We start from the raw sequence: 20,610 nt of genomic DNA, 5'->3' as shown, positions 1-20,610 counted from the left end.
TGATGCTACAAAGAAAACAGAGTGATATGAAAGGGAAAAATAGGGAGGACCTCCTTTAGATGGAGGGGATGAGTGAATAATGAATTCTTCTGATAGAACATATTCTTTCCATTTCTTTAAATCTCGCCTTATAAGATCCAGAGTCAATCCTCCAGTCGAGTTCAATCTATTCTCATTGACAGCTGTTTTCGAAAATTCCCTCTTTCCTAACCCCTGAGAAGTACAAATAGAATAGATATTCCCCCAAATTCACTTCATAGTGTTAAGTTTTTGTTTTTAAATAAAGTAAAAGTCTTGGGGTAGAAAGGCAATCAGTGCTGTTTCTTATACTCAGGTTTAAGCTGTATAGGTCTCAACATGGTTCTGAGCATTTACAAGACTATTTTAGTAGAATAATTGACCTACTAATATTTTCTTGTAAATTATTAAAATAAGCACACATGTAAACTTTATGCATAAAGTTATGTGAGCACTAATTAATTCAGCATAAGCAAATAAAAGTGTTTGAATATCTTGTTGCCAAATTCAAAGAATTTGCATAAAGTTCATGCATTACTGGTTTTTACATATACTAGGGTAAGAAACACAGACATAAACTCTATAGTTTTTTATATCTTATATTGAACATTCTTGTGAAATCCAAACATATCTTCCCACAAGAATGGAGGTGAAAATGCAGCTGTATTGTGTATACAAGCTGTGAGCAGCCACCACCTGATTCAACCTCTTTCTTTTTCCTTCTCCACTGCAATCCCCAAAGCATCATTAACAGTAAAAGTAAATAACCTTTCCATAGACAATATCACCAAGCTTAGAAAAATTATAAAAATACCAAACCTTACCTTGAGATGGCAAAAGCGTATGGAAGGCCTATAAGCAAATAATTTCCTTCTAACCTGTCTCACACTCTCTAGGACCTAATTTTCTGGGAGGAATGAAATTGTTTATCTTGATATCTGGTATCTTCTTTTAACAGCCAGGAGACAGGCTCTGGAGAAGAAATGAATGCTAAATGGGGATGAGAAGATGAATCCAGCAGAACTGGTGGTAAAGCATTAGTGACTGGACCTATACAATGAATGGGACTGGATGTGACTGAAAACACATGGCAACTGATTCATTCTTGCCTTATTAAGTCATCTTCAAAGTCAAGCAAAGTAATACTTCCCATTTCCCTGCAGAGGTATCAAGGCTATTCACAGTAAATCAGGTGACAGAAGGCTTGATTCACATCCAGTTTTGTGGGGAGACATAGTCATTGAGTAATTTGTCTTGCTCAGTGAAGGACAGTGATCTATGTGTCACATTAGGTGAACTGGCAGTGTTCCCATCAACTTGGATTTATAAAATATTTTTCTTCTTAAGAGCTCTTAATGCTGTCATACATTTTATGTGATGTGTTGCTACAGACACTTTCCCATTTTACAAAATAACTAAGTAGTAAAGAGTGTGAAACTAGAGAGAAGAGTGTAGCATTGGAGGCAAGATAAAAGAGGTAATCAGAAATTTCACGGCCATTGACTTGACTCATGGTCATTGTAAGAACCTTACTTTGAGTGGTTCAAGAAGTCATTGGGCATATTTTTAGTTGTGTACTGAGGTTGGATTACAATGGGTTGGCAGAGCTGCTTGTGCACTTCTTTCCAACTCTGACGTGACTTCACATTGGTAGCTTAAAATCAACCACTGTGAAATATTTCCACCATGGAAATTAGCAAATGCCACCAAAAAAATTCTTTTCTTTTTCCCTATAAAGGTCACTGTTAAACTTTTCATTCATTTTGAATAAAATAGTGACATGGTATGAACTACATTTCAGGTTAATAACAGGAGTGGGAAGTGAGATCAGAGGCTGAGAAGTCAATTAGGAAGCAATTGCGCAAATGCACGAATCCAGGTGAGAGCCACCGGTGACTCAAACCAAGGCAGTAGTAGTAGAGACACTGAGTTACCTTGTAAATCTCCAGTCAGAAAAATAACTCTACCAATTGTTTTGAGAAACTATGGAAATCCACACATTTCTGTAAAATCTCCCATTTTCCCTTATGTTGGTCACCCTGTACATGTTAGATAAACATGACTAAGCAAAGCTCCAGTTCATGATCCTGTATCAGCCATGCTTCTTGCTGAGGCAGTGAATGGCAACATCACTATTCACTAACGTAGGCTTTGGCAATGCATTTTAAACAGACTTTTTAAAAAAACATAAAAGTTGCTATGTGCCAGGTGTGGTAGCTCACACTTATAATCCTAGCACTTTGGGAGGCAGAGGTAGGCAGATCTCTTAAGCTTAGGAGTTTGAGACCAGCCTGGGCAACATGGCAAGACCCCTATCTTTACAACAAATACAAAAATTAGCCAGGTGGTGTAGCACACACCTGTAGTCCCAGCTATTTGTTGGGGCTGTGGCAGGAGGATCCTTGAAACTGGGAGGTAAGGCTGCAGTGAGCTGAGATGGTGTCACTGCGCTCCAGCCTGGGTGACACAGTGAGACCCTGTCTAAAAAAAAAAAAAAGTTGCTATAAAAGATATTATGTCAGCAGAGCACACATTCCTCTGCCAGGATACATTGATTTAGTTTGAATCTCCCCTCTAAATCTCATGTTGAGATGTAATTCCCAGTGTTGAATGTGTGGCCTCATAGGAGGTATTTGGATCACAGAGGCAGATCCCTCATGGCCTGGTCCTGTCCTCATAATAAATTACTTCTCATGAGATCTGGTTGTTAAAAGTATGTGGCATCCTCCCCTTCTCCCTCTCTTGTTCCCTCTCTCACCATGTGACATTTCTGCCCCTATCTTGCCTTCCACCATGAGTAAACACTTCCTGAGGCCTCTCCAGAAGTCAAGCAAATGCCAGGGCCACGCATGTACAGTCTGCAGAACTGTGAGCCAATTAAACTTTTCTTTATAAATTACCCAACTTCAGTATTTCTCTATCAATGAAAGAACAGAGTAACATAAACATTATGGAAATAACACCTAAATTATCAGAGCCCTTTACATTTATGCCAAATACATTTCTTATGTGACAAGTTTATTACCATGCCCCTGTTTTGCAAATGGAAAGATGAGTTGCAAGGAGTTTAACTAACCAGCCTAAGTTCTCATAACTTGGAACTGAGTTGGTTGTGAAGCAGGCCTACCTATCCCCAGAGTTATGCAGTTATAGGACAGAACACACAGGAATTCTTTAAAAGAAAAAAGATATATTCCAAGTGTAGAGTCTTAGAATGTAAATATACTTCTTGACAAGATGGCTTGGTTATAACAGTGTTATATCTGATGGTTCTGACATAGATGCTTCCTACAATCAACCGGCAAAGGAACAGTCACCAGGACACATGGGCATTTGCTCTTCCAATCACACACACCGGCCACATGGGCTATGGAGCAGCCAACATGTGAAAGGGCACATGGATCTTCTCCTGGCCTTAAGCACTCAAGTTCAGGTCTCTGCACTTGACCTGTCCTACCCAGGCCCTGGACTCAGCCCACACCCCTTGGGTCATACCACCACCTCCTCTTCTATACCTGTTCATCATCTCCTGGTTTCTTAGCCAGATAGGGTATAGGTTTTTTAAGTCTTTCACTACTGGAGAACATCCAGCTAATGCATAACGAAAATAAACTACAGTAAATGGTTAAACCACAAGCTTTTACAGCCTGGAGAATCTTATTGCTTTATATGAAGTATCATGCAATTGATGACTTTTGTAGACAGGGCAAACTTTTCTGAGATCATATCCAATCTGGAAATGTCTCCTGCCAAAAGTCAAGGCTGTTAGCATCTCTCATGACTTGAAATGTCACTAACTACATAGTAAAGACCCCCAGTCCAGCCCACTAGAGAGAAGCCATCTGTGGCATACAGTTTTGCAACATACGTATTGGAGGAGGGGAAATAGTACCAAGTTCTTTCCAAAGACAAACCATTGTAGTAAAAACTATAGAGATATATTTGATGAAGACTCTATATTTAAATCTAGATTTCAAGAAATTGCTGAGAAATTACAAATTCACAGACACTTAAATTCTCTGATTTAGAATCCATAATTTAAAAAAATTAAGATAGGTAGGGTGAGATGATAGTATTCAACATAAAATATGATTTGTGAATAATAAAAGGTGGTAGGACCCAGAAGCCTAATGATGGAGATATAGGTTTGACAAGCAATGGGACACTTCCTCGCACCTCAACCAGGCTAAGGAATTCACTAACTCCTTAAAGAGCAAGTTGTTCAAAATTTCGTTCTTGCCTTGTTTTTCATATAATGTATCACTTATTGCTCATGTAATTAAGCTTAAGGTAATAAACTCTAGGCAATTCCCCTTCTGTAGCCAGGAATTTAATTTAAACTTTTTTTCTTTTTTGCCTTTTTACAGTCCTGTGTCAAGAACTCTTCAGGCATCATTGGGAAGGGATGTTAGACAGGCTGAATGGGATTCAGAAGACCCCACTTGTCCATCTTGGTTTCCACTCTGTCTCCATCATCTAGGGCAGTGCTTAGAACACGAACACCTTCAGGAAATACTGGTTAAATAATGGAACAAATGAAAAATTCCATAACAGCAGTCAAGAGTGTAATGCTCCATGCAGGTGGGCAAATCTGAGAAGCAACATCTTTTAACAGTCATGAGTTGTGCAACTCAACACACAAATACTCAGCAGCATTCAGGTCACGGAAACTAATAACAAAGTTTAAGACAATGTTTAGCAACTCTGCATTGGAGAAAAGACAAAGGCACATCTAAGTTTTAATTTACATTGATTGCAATGTGTCTCATCAGGCCCCATGCCCTGTCAGGTTCCTCTCTGAGTCAGCCCTGCAGAGGCTCCCTTTTAGTTTCTGGCTTGGTAATCCTGGATTTGGATTGCCTAATCCTCTCAAGCTACATCTCTTCTTCAGTCTGCTTATCATTTCCCTCATCCAGGAGGCCTTGCTGTAGAACAGTAGCTGCTACTTATAAAATTTAATTTATAAAGAGAGTCAAGCAGATATATTTACATCTGCAAGGAAAATCCCCAGTCTTTCTCAAAGCTGGTCTTTCTCTTTACTTACAAAATGCATTTTATACTGATGCTCCACAGCATCCTTCATGAAGATGCCTTGACATTTTTCTTAAAAGGATAATGATTATGAGTCTCATGTGTTGCTGCTAAAGGAGTCAAACAAGAGTCTTTATGTTGTAAGTAATCAAAGGAATACCTTTGGGACAATATTGCATGTGGAATGGTATAGAAGAGAACAGAATGGGATGGAAATTGAGTCTCAGAGCCAGAAACTGCCCAAATTCCCTAGAGTATTTAGTTCAGTGCTTTCCAAAGTGCTCTGACAAATTGAAGCTCCTCTAACTGGATAGATATGAATTAAAGGAGATTCATAGTCAAGTCAAACACAGTTTGACTTGTCAAAGACAGTTCAGGAGGTTTCTTAACTGCAGGTCACTTGGATGAACAATATCAGAATGTGCATTGTGAACATCTAAGAACCTTTCACAGTTTGCATTGTTTCTCAAACTGTTTTTCCAGGATTCTCAGAACTATGAACACCCTTTGGAAAATGAGCTTGTAACTCAGCAGTTCTCAAACTTGGCTATACATTGGATCCACCCCGGGGAGCTTTAAAAAACGCTGGTGCTGGAATCCATCCCCACAGATATCTATTATTTGATCTGGGTCAAGGTCCCAGGACACTGGTATTTGTTTAGACAATTCTCAAGGGCCTTATATTTGCCAGTTAAGGGTTGAGAATCCTTGCACTGTGTGAGTTCAACCCCCGTTTTCAGAAGGAGGATACCCTGCTGGCTTACACATCCACATCCTAGCCATATGACTCCAGATTACTAGAGAAAGTTGGGTATTTCAGAATATGGCAAAAGCTGGTACTTGTTTCCTCTCTAAAAGGAGAAATAAATTATTAGACTTTTAGTAAGAAAGGAAAACAGGAATCTATTGTCTTATTTTATGATTAATTACCAGCTACAGGTGAATCTTAGAAAAAGGGGAGACCGGGCACGATGACTCACACCTGTAATCTCAACCATTTGGGAGGCCAAGGCGGGTGGATCATCTGAGGTCAGGAGTTCAAGACCACCCTGGCCAACATGGTGAAATCCCATCTCTACTAAAAATACAAAAAAAAAGTAGAGAGGTATGGTGGCGGGCACCTGTAATCCCAGCTACTCGGGAGGCTGAGGCAGGAGAATTGCTTGAACACAGGAGGTGAAGATTGCAGTGAGCCAAGATGGCATCATCACTGCACTCCAGCCTGGGTGACAAAGCAAAACTCTTAAAAAAAATAAATAAATAAAAGAAAGAAAGAAAGAAAAAGGGGAAAAAGGGGAGCCTCTTATATATGAGAAAATCTTTTACAAAAATATAAGTACGATGCAGACTTTGGAGTAAAACGTGCTGGTGAGTGAGGAAAACCTATTATTTCAGTTGACCATTGACATCATCAGTCATGAAATCATTTTGCAGATGAAGTTAGAGCAGTTCTTCTGCCTGGATTCTTAGCAAAGCTGTGCTGGTAAGCATTCATTTCCTTACCTGGGTGGCACACTTCCCTATTTACTATGTGGTTTTGAGCAAAGCTGCTCTTTAAAGGAAGTCCCTATTTCAATATTACTAATAAAATCAAACTCACCAACCATTGTAGAAGAATTCATTTCATGACTTGGTTCTGTAGACTATGAAAACTGTCTAAAGTCTGTCCCAAAAGAGTGTCTCTTAGAGAGAAGCCAAAGGGAAACCCACCTGTTCAGGAAGTTTGGGAAATAAAAATCCTATCAAAGGCTGGATGTGGTGGCTCATGCCTAAAATCCTGTCAAAGGCTGGGTATGGTGGCTTATGCCTATAATCCCAGCACTTTGGGAGGCCAAGGTGGGCGATCATTTGAGGCTGAGAGCTCGAGACCAGCCTGGCAAACATGGCAAAACCCTGTCTCTACTAAAAATACAAAAATTAGCTGGGCTTGGTGGTATGTGCCTGTAATCTCAACTACTTGGGAGGCTGAGGCATGAGACTTGCTTGAACCCAGGAGTCAGAGGTTGCAGTGAGCCAAGATCATGCCACTGCACTCCAGCCTGGGTGACAGAGTAAGACTCTGTCTTAAAAAGTCATATAAAACAGATGAAATAAAGATTCTGTTATGTTTATGTGATTGGCTTATAAAATGAGCAGTCTAACTTTTTTCTTAAGTTAAATAAACAAAATCTGTTTTATTTTATTTTTAAAGGTTAAGGATTATCATTCTTTTCCTGGCACTTATGACTTCATTAGGCATAAGCTGCCAAGCATGTTTGTTCACCTTCAAGCTCTGTGGGAGAATGATTAAGATTTTTCTGTCATTCCTTTTTCTAAGCAGTAGCAGGATTATGCAAAGGAAATACATAAATTTTGATTTAGCCTGTATAATGATCCGTGGATATGGGTCAGAAGAAACTTCCTAGGAGAACAAAGAGAACTTTGTGAATGCTGAGTCCAGATTTTCTTTTCTAGTCCCAGATGGGCCCCTTCCTCTTACACCAAGCACTTTGGGAATGTCAGCTAAGCTTCAGCCAATGCCATAAACAGATGTGCCATCATACATAGAGAAAGCGAATAGAGGATTTGGTTAAAACCAATAAAACTTAGAAATGCCACCTATAAAATTGATAATCTGTATGTGGGTGTGGGTGGAGGATATCAGAAAGGGGGATAGAAAATAGTGACTGCTAAAATATATCTATATATCTATGAACAAACATCCCCATAAATAAATACTATGTCTGTGTTGTATGGATAAAGCTGGTCTAGCAAAGCTAATTCAAAATTCCTAAATAAAATCTATCAGGTTGAAAGTTTGCCAGGCGTGGTGGCTCATGCCTGTAATCTCAGCACTTTGGGAGGCTGAAGCAGTTGGATCACTTGAGGTCAGGAGTTCAAGACCAGCCTGGCCAACACGGTGAAACCCTGTCTCTACTAAAAATACAAAAATTAGCTGGGTGTGGCGGTGGGCGCCTATAATCCAAGTTACTCGCAAGGCTGAGGCAGGAGAATCGCTTAAACCCAGGAGGCGGAAGTTGCAGTGAGCCAAGATTGTGCCACTGCACTCCAGCCTGGGTGACAGAGCAAGACTCTGACATGGAAAAAAAAAAAGAAAAGAAGAAAGTTACCAATTAGAAATGAGAAAGGAGGCTCGAGGCTACGGCAGAGGTCCAGGGGAGCTGTGAGGGCCATCATGGGCCTGAAGACCAGTGTTCCTGAGAGATCTCATGTATGTGCACTGTCCACTCCATTTACTTCCTGCCGAAATACTAGCTTGTGGCCAAGGCCAGGCCAGCATTTACTGACTCCTGGTGCAAAGCAGAGACTATGCCAATATTCTCCTTCCCAATGAGAGGGAAGTGCAGCCAGGGAAAGCCTACTCATTCCCCAGAGGGTGTTCAAGAGAATCTAAACTGGAGGAGATAAGAGCACCAGGCTGGCCTTGATTACCAGACAGCAATATGTGACTTTTGTCTACCTATAATTTCAAAAGTGCTACTCATATGTTTTCCAATCCCAGTGGTGTTCTCCTGCACTACTGGCTAAAGTTCCCTTAACTGTAGGGCCCTTCCCATTTAAAATGTTTAAATGTAGGGAATTCTAGGGAATAGCTGGAACTCAGATCTGTAGGGAGGAGGAGTTAATGGCTGGTATCTGATAATTTTCCCAAAGGGGAGGGCCCAGGGAGGTTGAACTGTGAAGGGAGAATATCCTATCAGAACCTCAAAGAGAGCATGGTCTCCAGCCAACTCACCTACAAAGTAGGCCCTGATGGGTTTCTTATTCTGCATTATAAAATAGCTACAATTGCTTTGAACGAGTACAATGAATTTAGATGAGCAATGCCTGGAAACAAACCCGGAGGTTATTTCAGAGGTTATTTATGAGACACAAATTTCTCCATGGAGAAAATCAGTGGGATTTGGAAGCAGAGATCAAGTGTACCTAATACCATAAGCCCAGCTCAGCAGCAGGCAAGGCTCAGTGCCTGCGCCTGCCTGCTCCTCACACTGGGGCTGTTTGCACAGGCCTTCAGAGAATTCTCAGTAGCATCAAAGCTTAGAACATTTACCTCCTACAGAATCACTAATAGCTGGCAGTTTTCTTTTCAGCTCATGCACTCCCATAGCTCCTACCCTTAGCTATTCTTTCAGAGGCCGCTGTTGCCAGGAGCATAGGAGTGCTGAATACCCTCTTGGTTTTACAGTCTACCTCTCACTGCTAATTTATTTTCCAAGCAGAGCAGCCAAGCTTCTCAAAAATCTGGGTCTCCTCTTTTTCACACTTGTTCTAAAATAATAGCCAGGAGAAGGAAGGCTTGGTGGATAATGGCTATTCCAGCCAGGGCACCACGCACCTTGCTCAAGGGTGGGTGGCCTCATGATAAGGAGAAAGTGATAAAGGGAATTCCGCAGGGTGCTAGTTCTCAACCAAATGGGGGTAGGAGAGAAGTGGGGGCAGTTTTACCACCGCCCACAAGGAGACATTTGGCAATATCTAGAGATAGTTCTGACTGTCATGACTGGGGGAGGGGTGTGGCTACTAGCATCTAATGATTAGAGGCCATGGATGCTGCCAAATATTCTAACATGCACAGGGCAGCTGCATCAGCAAAAACTCATCCAGTCCAGAATGTCAGTCACGCCGAGAAACCTTGACCTAAGGGCTTCTGAAGCTTTTTGAGGTAATGGCATGCTTCTCTCCTCTTTTGCCCAAGTCATTTGAGCAATTTGGAAAATATCCATCTCTCCCTTTCTGTGATTGCCCTGAGTGCAAGGCTGTGAGATTCAGTAAGAGGGGACTGAATTTAAATACATTTTATGTGTTTTTCCTGGATAAATGAATACAACAGGGACTCACACACACCCCTCCCACCAATAATCTCTGGCTCCTCCCCACCATTGTCCAGCTTTTAAACACTCCTCTGGAAAATAACATAAAGCCAGAGTCTAAAGGGAGTACATTCATCTTAGAGACATCTAAGTCTGCCTCCCTCTCAAGTAACCTTTCTAAAAATGCTGCTGGGTGAAGATGAGCACAAACCTAACTTAGAAATGAAGTTGCTAACATGGTTTGAGAGTTAATGACTGTATTTGTCAGTTCTCATGCTGTTAATAAAGACATACCCAAGACTGGGTAATTTATAAGGGAAAGAGGTTTAATTGACTCACAGTTCCATGTGGCTGGGGAGGTCTCACAATCATGGCAGAAGGTGAATGAGGAACAAAGTCATGTCTTACATGGTGGCAGGCAAAAGAGCTTGTGCAGGGGAACTCTCATTTATAAAACCATCAGAGACTCACTATCACGAGAGAACAGTATGGGGGAAACCACCCCCATGATTCAATTATCTCCACCTGGCCCCACCCTCAACACATGGGGATTATTACAATTCAAAGTGAGATTTGGGTGGGGACACAAAGCCAAACCATATTAATGACCAACTGCTGTAAGCATATTAATGAGACTCTGAATAGGCCAGGCTCAGAGAGCCTCAAAATTACCCACAGGGGTTCTTAAAACTCACACTGATGGGCCTCACCCTTAGGGTTTCTGATTCAATAGCACTGGGGTGAAGCCCAAGTTTTCATTTCTAGATGATGCTGATACATTTCAGATGACGCTGATACATTTCAGATGACACTGATGCAAAGACCACGCTTTGGAAACCACCAGACCAGGCCAATCAACTTTGATTTCAAAGCACGTGTTCAAGTAATAAGATTCACAGAATTTTAGAGCAGAGATTAGCCTTACAGAGAACTCTATTTCTCATTCTCCAAGTGAGAAAATATGACATTAAGCCAGTCAACATTAAGCAGGAGGCTTACAGTAGAGTAGAAAGAGTAAAAGATGTCTCATCAGGACATCTGGATTCTAAGCCAGTGGCTCCTTAGCCTATGGGCTAGTTGAGCTAACTAGCTCTGGTAAGTAATTTAATCTCTGATCCTCAGCCCCTCATCTGTAATCAAGAGAAAATACTTCCTTGCCTAATTCACACTGTCATAGAGATTATTAAATGAAATTTGATAAAATGATAAACTATGTCTTAACACTAGAGGCTAATTAATAGTAATGCCTATTACTTAGCAACTAGCCTGAAGCTGCAGATATAAGTGGCCGAGCCCCAGTGAAGGGCTGCCCTCCTAGCTAAGTCAACTAATCATTTGGGACGTGTACACTGAAAAAATACATGTTGGAACACCATCCTTCTTACAGTCCTACAGTTTATGGCCTGCTTGTAGAACTAAGACAAAAGAGCAAAGTGGATACAGGCCTTTAATTGCTGTTGGCATTTTAGAAAATGTGAGCACCAAATGCCACTCTTAGCAAAATGGAATACCTACACACATAAAGCACCAACTTAAAAACCTGATTTCTCTAAACAGTTAGTGTTCATTTACTATGGTGGTGGAGGAAAACAATCTTACTAAGTTGGAAATACCCAAGACCCTCAAATCCTCAAGTTTTTCCTGTAAACCACAACCTTGGCAAGTGTGAGTCCTTTAAGAAATTTCTTTCACATATAGTTATTTAAAATTTTAAAGTAAATTTTATCCATGTATTATAGTTTATCTTATTTCTTAAACAGAAGAAAGTATTTGACTCCAGATAGTATTTGAAATAATTTAAAAGACACTTTTCAAGAGAGTTATTTTTCCGTGCCTGAAATATGGAAAGGGCTATAACATTTTTTTCTCATTTAGCAATTATATCATCAAATTATTTCCGTATAAACCTTTTTGGGACTCAAATATAAACAAAACTTTCCATTCTCCCTGTAAAACTGAAAACGAACAAATATTTTGAGCAGTATGTTTTATTTAGAAGGTATTTTCTTCTTAGGTATGTTATTACTCATGCTATTATTTTAAATTGTGTGTGTGTGTGTGCACACACGTCTCACTTTTTCTAAGAGTTGCTCTTGTGATAATTGCAAATAATCCTAAATGAAGGTATTTTGACCAGTGCTTTTACCCAATGTTTACCAGTTCCACAAACAGCTGTAGAACTGAGTAAGAAAACAATACTATTTCTTTTCAAAGTCTCTGCTCAAACCAGGGCAGGGATTTTGGATGGTGATGGATTACCATATTTTTTTCTTACCATTATTTATGTATTTACATAAAAACTATGCATAATTAACAATTATAGTTTGATGAGTTTAAAGATATGTGGTAATAAAGCCATCCTCACATTCTATATCATGAACCTGCCTATTACCTTCAAATGTTTCCCCTAGCTCTCTTATTTATTATTATTATTTTGTGAAAGGAACACTTAACTCAAGATCTACCTTCTTAAAACATATTTAAGTATATGATACAGTGTTATAATATATAGATGTTATGTTAGTTAATTTTTTAAACAATTTAAAATAAATGACAGATTTTCACATTACTCATCACCTGGATATAAATTACCAGTACAGAATATTCAAACAGGTGCACTATAGCAACATATTTCTTACGAAAACACAAACCAGTCTCTTCTTGGTAAAGAAGTACAATATTTACCAGCTGTCTGAAGAAGTCCTGAACAGTCCACAAAATCCCTGAAATAATGGATCCATGGGCTTTGTCTTCTCTCCGTATACCATTTTCTCCATTTCTCCCACTCTGTTGTTCTTTGCATTAGCAGTAAGATTGCACAGTTGTTTACCCAAGGAGTTTGTTTGGGGTAGGGCTGGCTGGGGAAAAGAGCTGCCTAGGGAATCCAGCTAAGAGACCTAGAAGAGGAAACTTAATGATCCTAGAAGGGAAAGAAGGAGGTGACAGTGAGGAAAATAGGCTCTGTGGTGGTGGAGCAGCAAGAACATCAAGTAACATTTTGGAAGGTTTGATTTTTCTGCTGCATTTGAGTAAGGAGAGAATGAGAAAGGGGTAAACAGATGCATTTCAGAAGCCTTCGGGAAACCCCACACTCTCTTTCTATTGAAGTGACCCATCATTAGTAGCAGTACTTTCCTTTTAGTATTCCTTTAAACATTGCTGGCATAGTGAAGCAGAAAAGAAATATTGAATATATTATTTTTGATGAAACAGTGGCAACAAAGGCTAAGACTAAGGGAAACACTGCAGAGGAACCTGCAAGCAGCCACACTGTACACTACTCTAACAGGCACCATTCTATTACCAATCCTTTTTGTTCTCAGACCACTCATCTCACACACATGAATAAAGGAGGTGAGGGCAGCCCAACAAAATGGCCCCACATTTTTATGTGCAAAATCAGATAGGAAGATGTTTTTATAATGAAAAAACTTTAATGGAGCTTTCTGTAAAATCGCAGGTAGTGAAGCTTAAAGGGTTTTAAATCAAGTCACTGTAGAATTTTATGTTAAAGGAATAGAATATAATGGAATAGGAATTATTACTATGCATTATATGTAAAAATAAGATATTTTTGTATACTGTGGCTTCATTTAATTCTACTCTCATTACAGTATGCTATAAGTGTATGTCACATTGCTTTTTGTTAATCATCACAGTTGCCATTGCATGTTTATTTGTGTATGTGTGTGTGTGTTTGTTGTTGAAATTGTTGTTGTTATTGATGTCTCTCTCTCAACTAAATCACAAACTGCAGGGGCCTTGGGTTTGCCTCCTCATTCTTATTTCCAGCACTTAGCACAATGTTGGACCAAACTAGGAATCAAAAATATTTATTGAATAAATGATAAATGGATGCCTAAGGGGGTGGAACCTTGCCTCCCAAAGGCCCACCCTGACCCAGAATGTCACAAACTTCATCTATTTTGCATTTGTGGCTTTCAATATATAAAATATTCAGTGATTTTTCAAACTTCAAGAAATACTACTTCATATTATTGTTTGCAAGAGAGAAGTAGCTCACAGGTAAACATTATTAATTTAAATAAAAAACCTGAGTTTGAAAAATTAATAAATTAGTAACCGGTCCCATAAGTTTGTTCTCCATGTGGTTGTTCATGATCAATTAAATTCTTTATTAGCAGGTCAAAAAGTGAATAAGTAAATATGTTTTATGTTCAAACTTAATGTTGAAGTTGAGAACAAAAATGTAAAGGTAACAAAATGTGTTGATTCACTGGACTTTAGAGAGTATTATTATCCTAGAGCATTTTCTAACAAATACAACAGTCATTAGATTTTGACAATAACTAATAGAGAAAATAAATAATTATTATTATAATTTGACCATTTAGTGAAGAGAATTTGACCATGGATGTAAACACTGATAAAAGTAGAGTTATAAAAAGTACATGGATAACCTGACTGCTTCTTGAGAGATGATGAATTATATACAGGATGACACTTTTAATTGACAAATATTTCTGAGGAAAAGGTTTTTTAAAGAAAGAAACAGTAGAGATCAATAGTCATCATCCTACATTTCTCTGAGTTTTCCCTTTGATTTCATGGAACACATTAAGAATGATTCTGAAATTTCAAAGAGATGTCAACTTAAGGCAGAAACGGGAAGGAAAATATAAAGTTATGTTCTTGAGACTCTTGTTGAATTGTTAGGGAGTCATTACATCAAAGACATTGTAAATTAGCAGAAGGGGTGTTTACTCTCAATTTAAGATAGTTAATTCTGAAAATATCTGGATACATGGATCATGTTGTTGGACTAAAGTATAGCAACTATTTTTTAAAACAACTAGTTTTAATGTAAAAACCATTTATATAAGAAAGAAAACCAAATTGTCTCCTCATTGTTCAGATCATAGTATACAAGTTTTAAGTCATCTTCTCAAACACAGCTCCTATATGTAATTCTCCTGCTTAAATATCTTCAATGGAATCTATTTGACCATTTATTTTATTTTTCCCTTTAAGATCCTTCTTGCTATACCCTCAACCACTTTTGCACAGCTTCACAATATATCCTATGTCCCAATCACGCAAATACTCGCCTTTCTATGAAGCCTGCATTTTTGTGCCTCAATATTCCTTTATGCTATTTTCCTTCCTCGGCATGTCCATTTTGAATGAAGTTCACTTATCTACATTCCTTCAAGTGCTAGCTCAAATGCCCTTTTAGTTAAGAAATATAGCTTAAACTCACCCACTTGGTTTTCATCTTTCTCTCCTTCATATCTCCATTATGCTTCCAATTTTTAACAGTACATTTTGGTTTGTATCAGACTTTCATTTACATATCTATCTTCCCCTAGTATACATATATAAATCTTAGATGGAGGAGATCATTTTTTTCTTTCTAGAATTTTACCACACCCACTCTTCCCAATAACACCTGTCATGATACCCACATGTAGTAGACATTCAATAATATCTATTGAATTTTTAGTCTTAACATGAAATACCTTCTAAAAATTATTTTCTAAAAATTAAAAATGTCTCAGGCTGCCAGAAACAATTGTCTACATTAGGAATTCACAGATTTACAGAAGTTTGGATTTCCTTAGAAAGTAATACATACTTTGATTGACTTAACTTTTACCAAAGTTACTTGGCTGGTAAAGTCCAGTGACGTCAGTAGACAAGTAAAAGAAGTAGAAGAATTTCTTAATATATATTCACCTTTGGGATTGTTTGAAAATTGAAGAGAGGAATATGGAGGTGCAATACTATTTTGCATTAAGAAAGATGCTTTGAAGAAAATAGGACTGGGGAAAGGGAATCACATTGGTACAAATTTGATGAAATTACATGTAGAAAAAAATTTAGATGTTTTTCCTATCCTAACAATTTAGCTAAATTTAACCTCTGAATCGTCTGAAGTTTGTCCTTAAGAAAAAGCTAATCATAGCACAAAATATACAAGGTGACTGCAAATGCAAATATCTTTGGTAATTACTGGTGGATTTAAAAAAAAAAACTATGGTACTTTGGAATTCTAAGCATTTTCACAATGCATTGGAACCGATTCAAAAATGCTATTAGAAGTTATTATTTTGGCTGGACCACAGGTACCATGCAATGCTGAACTTTTGGCATGTCATACTCTTTTATTAAAGGACTTTTGGTCTGCATATAGAAACAGTGCCTTTTAACTATTTCAATGGATCACTTAGGATGGTTCAAATCATCTAGACCTTTTTCATTAAATATTCTTGCTGAGATTCACTTAATAAGTAGATCGTGTTGGCATAATCTAATTCACTGAGGTACAGTGTTAATTTAGGACAACTTATATTTTAAATTAAGAGTCACTAACCTGATTTTATAAGAATAAGAATTTCTCATGCAAATTATACCAAATTCAAAGGGATGGATTTGGTGGCAGTGGATTTATAACCAGATTTTTCTTCTGGCTGAAGAGTAGAGAGAAGCTTATGTTGCTGTAATTCTTACTCTTTCTTCAAATATCTCCTGTTCCTTTTTCAATCTTTTCCTATTGTTTTTTCCATTGGCTCCCACTCGTTGACTGTTCCCAAGTCACATATGAACATATTTTTCTCCCTCAATATTCAATCACATCTGCTAGTACAATTTTAAAACATATTAACACCATAATGCTGAATCTCTTATTTTTTTTCCCAATGATTGGATTCTCTAGCAGCATCTTAAATTCACAGGTCAAAGCTTTTGACTTTTGTGTTTGGTCCATGAAGAGTCATCTTCCAATCCTTGCACAATATTCAGATCATGCTCCTATACTAATAGGTGATACAAGAGATATTTTGAAATTTCCTGTAATGTTGTTTGAAAAATACTTTTTATATCAGGATGTAATGCCTGCTTTTCTTCACCACCCTCCAACAGGGTCCTGAATTACTCCAATCTCATGTTCCTGAACCTAGCTTTCAGGACCATTGTATTTTCATGAAAATTTGTCATCAATTTTGTTTTTTCCACAGATTAACCTTGAAAAAATTTAAGGTCACGTTGCCAAGAATAAAAACAATATGAGTGATGGACTGATTAGAAAGGGGTATCCCCACCTTCAGGCTTGAAGTTGGATTTGGTTCTGGCAAACCTGTCTTATGGTCCAAGACAAAAAGGTAGCATATAGAAGATTCCTCACAAACTCACAAGATTTATGACCATATACTTCTTGATTATCATGTTACTAAACCTGCTGTGAGTTCTTCTGTTGAATCACTTCAACTTTGGGAAAAATGAATTCATAAACAGAGTTAACATCTTCTTTTATTTTTAACTTAGGAAGAGAGAGAGAGAGACTGGCTTCTTCTTCCTGGATTCCTGTTTATGCAGCTGCACCATCATGTTCCCAGTTACTGGGGCTCAGCATCCCCGACTCTTCATCCTCCATATATCCAGGATCCAGATTCCTCCCAGTTCTTCCTTCCCTTGGACATAGGTGCTTACCACTTACCCCTAGCTTGTGACAAACAGCATCTCTATACTAAGTGTAGTTTGCCTCACACTTGGATAGCACCCGATTAAACTTCCTAGAGCATAATTCTTTAAATTAATGACTTATGTTCCTTAAATGCCTACAGGATTAATTTCAACCGTTCCTGGCTGAAACTCAGGGTTTTCTTTCTTCCCTTATGACCTAACATCTCATCAACCTTGAACTAATTTCGGGCTCCTTGAACACTTCTTTTAATACAAGGATTGATAAAGGCAGTTTCTCCTCCTCCTCCTCCACTAGGCCATGGCAGCAATTCCAACTCCCATTTTTTCTCCTGTTTTCTCTACAGAATGTCATTTAATTATATATCATTTTGTTTGAGTACATGGAGGGGCCCGTTTCAAATTACAGATATAGATATACATGTGTATGTATATGTGTGTATATATGTGCGTGTGTATCTATGTGTGTAAAACTGTACATGTGTGTATGTATGTGTGTATGTATCTAAACTAACATGCACACACACATATGCAGTGAGAGAGAAGAAGATTGACTCTTATAAAGTAAGTTTCTAAGGAAATTAGTCAGGGCCTTTGCTATTCAAAGTTAGGTCCAGAGACCAGCAGTATCAGTAAGATCTGTGAACTTGTTAGAAATAGAGACTCTCGGCCGGGCACGGTGGCTCACACCTGTAATCCCAGCACTTTGGGAGGCCGAGGCAGGCGGATCACGAGGTCAGGAGATCGAGACCATCCTGGCTAACACAGTGAAACCCCATCTCTACTAAAAATACAAAAAATTAGCCAGGCGTGGTGGCGGGCACCTGTAGTCCCAGCTACTCGGGAGGCTGAGGCAGGAGAATGGCATGAACCCAGGAGGTGGAGTTTACAGTGAGCTGAGATAGTGCCACTGCAGTCTGGCCTGGGTGAAAGAGTGAGACTCCGTCTCAAAAAAAAAAAAAAAAAAAAAAAGAAATAGAGACTCTCAGACCTGCTAAATCAGAATCTGCCTTTTAACAAGATGCCCATGTGATTTACATGCACAGTAAAGTTTGAGAAGCACTGCTACAGAGGTATACTTCCAAAAGCACACATATAATATATATACCTCACAAGTGCTGGATATGATGTGTACTACATATATGTGGGGCATTGTGTAATTTTTTTTCATATTCCCTTTCCTTCAAAGGCATAGGCAGTGGTGGCTTAAAGGTAGTTAATACAGGTCAGCAAAAAACAACCGTTAAAATTTCAGAAAATTTATGAGACAGTTGTTAAATAGCCGTTTTTTAAAGTCAATTATACAAATTCACAATTAAATAAATTATATTAAAAACAAAGGTAACATACTGAAACTCATCACTTTATAATTATTATATTCATTTTACTATTATCTGTATCTTAAAGTTACTTAGGTCTATTGTATCTGTATGGCATATTGCTATATAATGATGTATGTATCTCTTCAATTCTATGTTTAGGGACCACTGGTGTGTGCTTGAAATTCATCACAACAGTAGTATTTACACAATGGAAATCCATAAATACTGTAAGTAAGGGTTTGATATATTGTTTTGATTGTCTGGATTTAGGAAAGTGATAGAGAAAATGATAATGCAGATTAAATTTAAAAGTGTGTCATAAAATATATATTTGCATCCATTTTTCTGTTTTAAAAGCCTGTTAAAGATTTACCAGCACATTGCTGGGTAAAGGCATTAGAAATAGAATGTTCCTACAATGAACAAAAACCTGGCATATTTTTTAAGTAAATTTTTTTTTTTTTTTTTTGAGACAGAGTCCCGCTCTGTCACCCAGGCTGGAGTGCAGTGGCGTGATCTTGGCTCACTGCAAGCTCCGCCTCCCGGGTTCACGCCGTTCTCCTGCCTCAGCCTCCCGAGTAGCTGGGACTACAGGCGCCCATCACTACGCCTGGCTAATTTTTTGTATTTTTAGTAGAGACGGGGTTTCATCGTGTTAGCCAGGATGGTCTCCATCTCCTGACCTCGTGATCCGCCCGCCTAGGCCTCCCAAAGTGCTGGGATTACAGGCGTGAGCCACCACACCCCGTCAGTAAAAATTTTTTTAGACTTCTATTAAGACTAATCTGCCTCACAGATTTTTGTCAGTTCATTTAGACTCTCCTCATAGTTTTCTCTAAATCGATGTTGAGCTCTGCAGCACCACCATTTATAAATTATTCCATTAAATAGGTTCTGACTCCACTTATTTATTGGAAAATCATCTAATCTCTGCAGTTCTGGAAGCTCTGCAGGCTTCTGTTACTTTCATTGTAAAATGAAGAGTTCCATATTCCATAAGGTGCCATGTTCTCCAGAACCACTACTGCCAGAGAATATTCTAAATAAATAGCTTTTATGAGACACTGAAACAAGTATATTTGTCAGTTTCTCATTGGGAAATCAGTTCAGTATTATGAAAATATATCCCACAAAACCAGACTAGGAGATTTGAATTATAAACAAAATATTGATTTACTCTCTGGCTCTCTCTACTCAATTGCAAAATATCTGATTTCTGAAAAGATTTATTTTCAGATATGAAACTTATTCAAATAATAAACCTCACAACTGAATGCCTAACTAAACAATTTTTCAATCCAGATTTTGGGGAATAACACAAACACAGAAAAATGTCAAAATACCATTCTTGCCTTTCAGACTCAAATATAATTGTTTTTCCCTACCTTATTTAAAATTTATACTCATATACATCAAATGAAACTGAATTTCACTTATTTTCCTTAGTTTATGGCTTTAATAACAGCATTATCATTAACTAACATTACAGAGATAACTTTAACTCCTCCCACCAGGGGAGGGTAGAACAAAGAGAAAATTATGTCTTTGAAGAAGGAGAATGTACTACATCAGTGCATTGTATTGTAGGGTTTGGTTTGGTATGGTTTAGCAAAAGTGTAGAACTTGGCCAGGAAGAAAAATAAAAAAACCTGAAAAACTGGTCAGTTTGGATAAGTTGACATTCTTCAGATGATATATTCCAAAATGGAAATGGTAAATACATTTGTTTGCTTCATTTATGACTTTATTTTCTTATGCTTTTGCTATAGTTTTCTGTACTTTCAAAAGTTTCTATCATAAGCAGGTATAAATTTAATATTTTAAAAATTAGAATAAAGATTTCTTCTAGAAAACAGAAATACTGATCTTCCTAGAACTGGAGTGTTATGCAAACAAATACAGATGCTTTTATAGCTGTACAAAGTCTCACACTTGTACATATATTCAGAAAATAACAAACTTCTGTAACAGGTGATGTTTTGAAA

At 38.1% G+C, this 20,610-nt stretch overlaps 1 protein-coding gene across 4 annotated transcripts in view, besides 1 other annotated feature; it reads right to left on the bottom strand.

The window, feature by feature from the left end:
* NYAP2 (neuronal tyrosine-phosphorylated phosphoinositide-3-kinase adaptor 2) overlaps positions 1-20,610 on the bottom strand; it is a 305,716-nt gene that overhangs the window by 208,148 nt on the left and 76,958 nt on the right. The gene's annotated exons all lie outside the window — the stretch shown is intronic.
* Positions 4,767-4,967: a silencer, noted in NCBI's record as "peak4058 fragment used in MPRA reporter construct". NCBI's record gives its function as "represses an SCP1 promoter by STARR-seq MPRAs in K562 erythroleukemia cells {active_cell/tissue: K562}" and the evidence as "EXISTENCE:reporter gene assay evidence [ECO:0000049][PMID:32103011]".

This window comes from Homo sapiens, chromosome 2, assembly GCF_000001405.40.
Source record: "Homo sapiens chromosome 2, GRCh38.p14 Primary Assembly".
NCBI classification, from domain to species: domain Eukaryota; kingdom Metazoa; phylum Chordata; class Mammalia; order Primates; family Hominidae; genus Homo; species Homo sapiens.
This window is presented reverse-complemented; position numbering and strand designations above follow the sequence as displayed.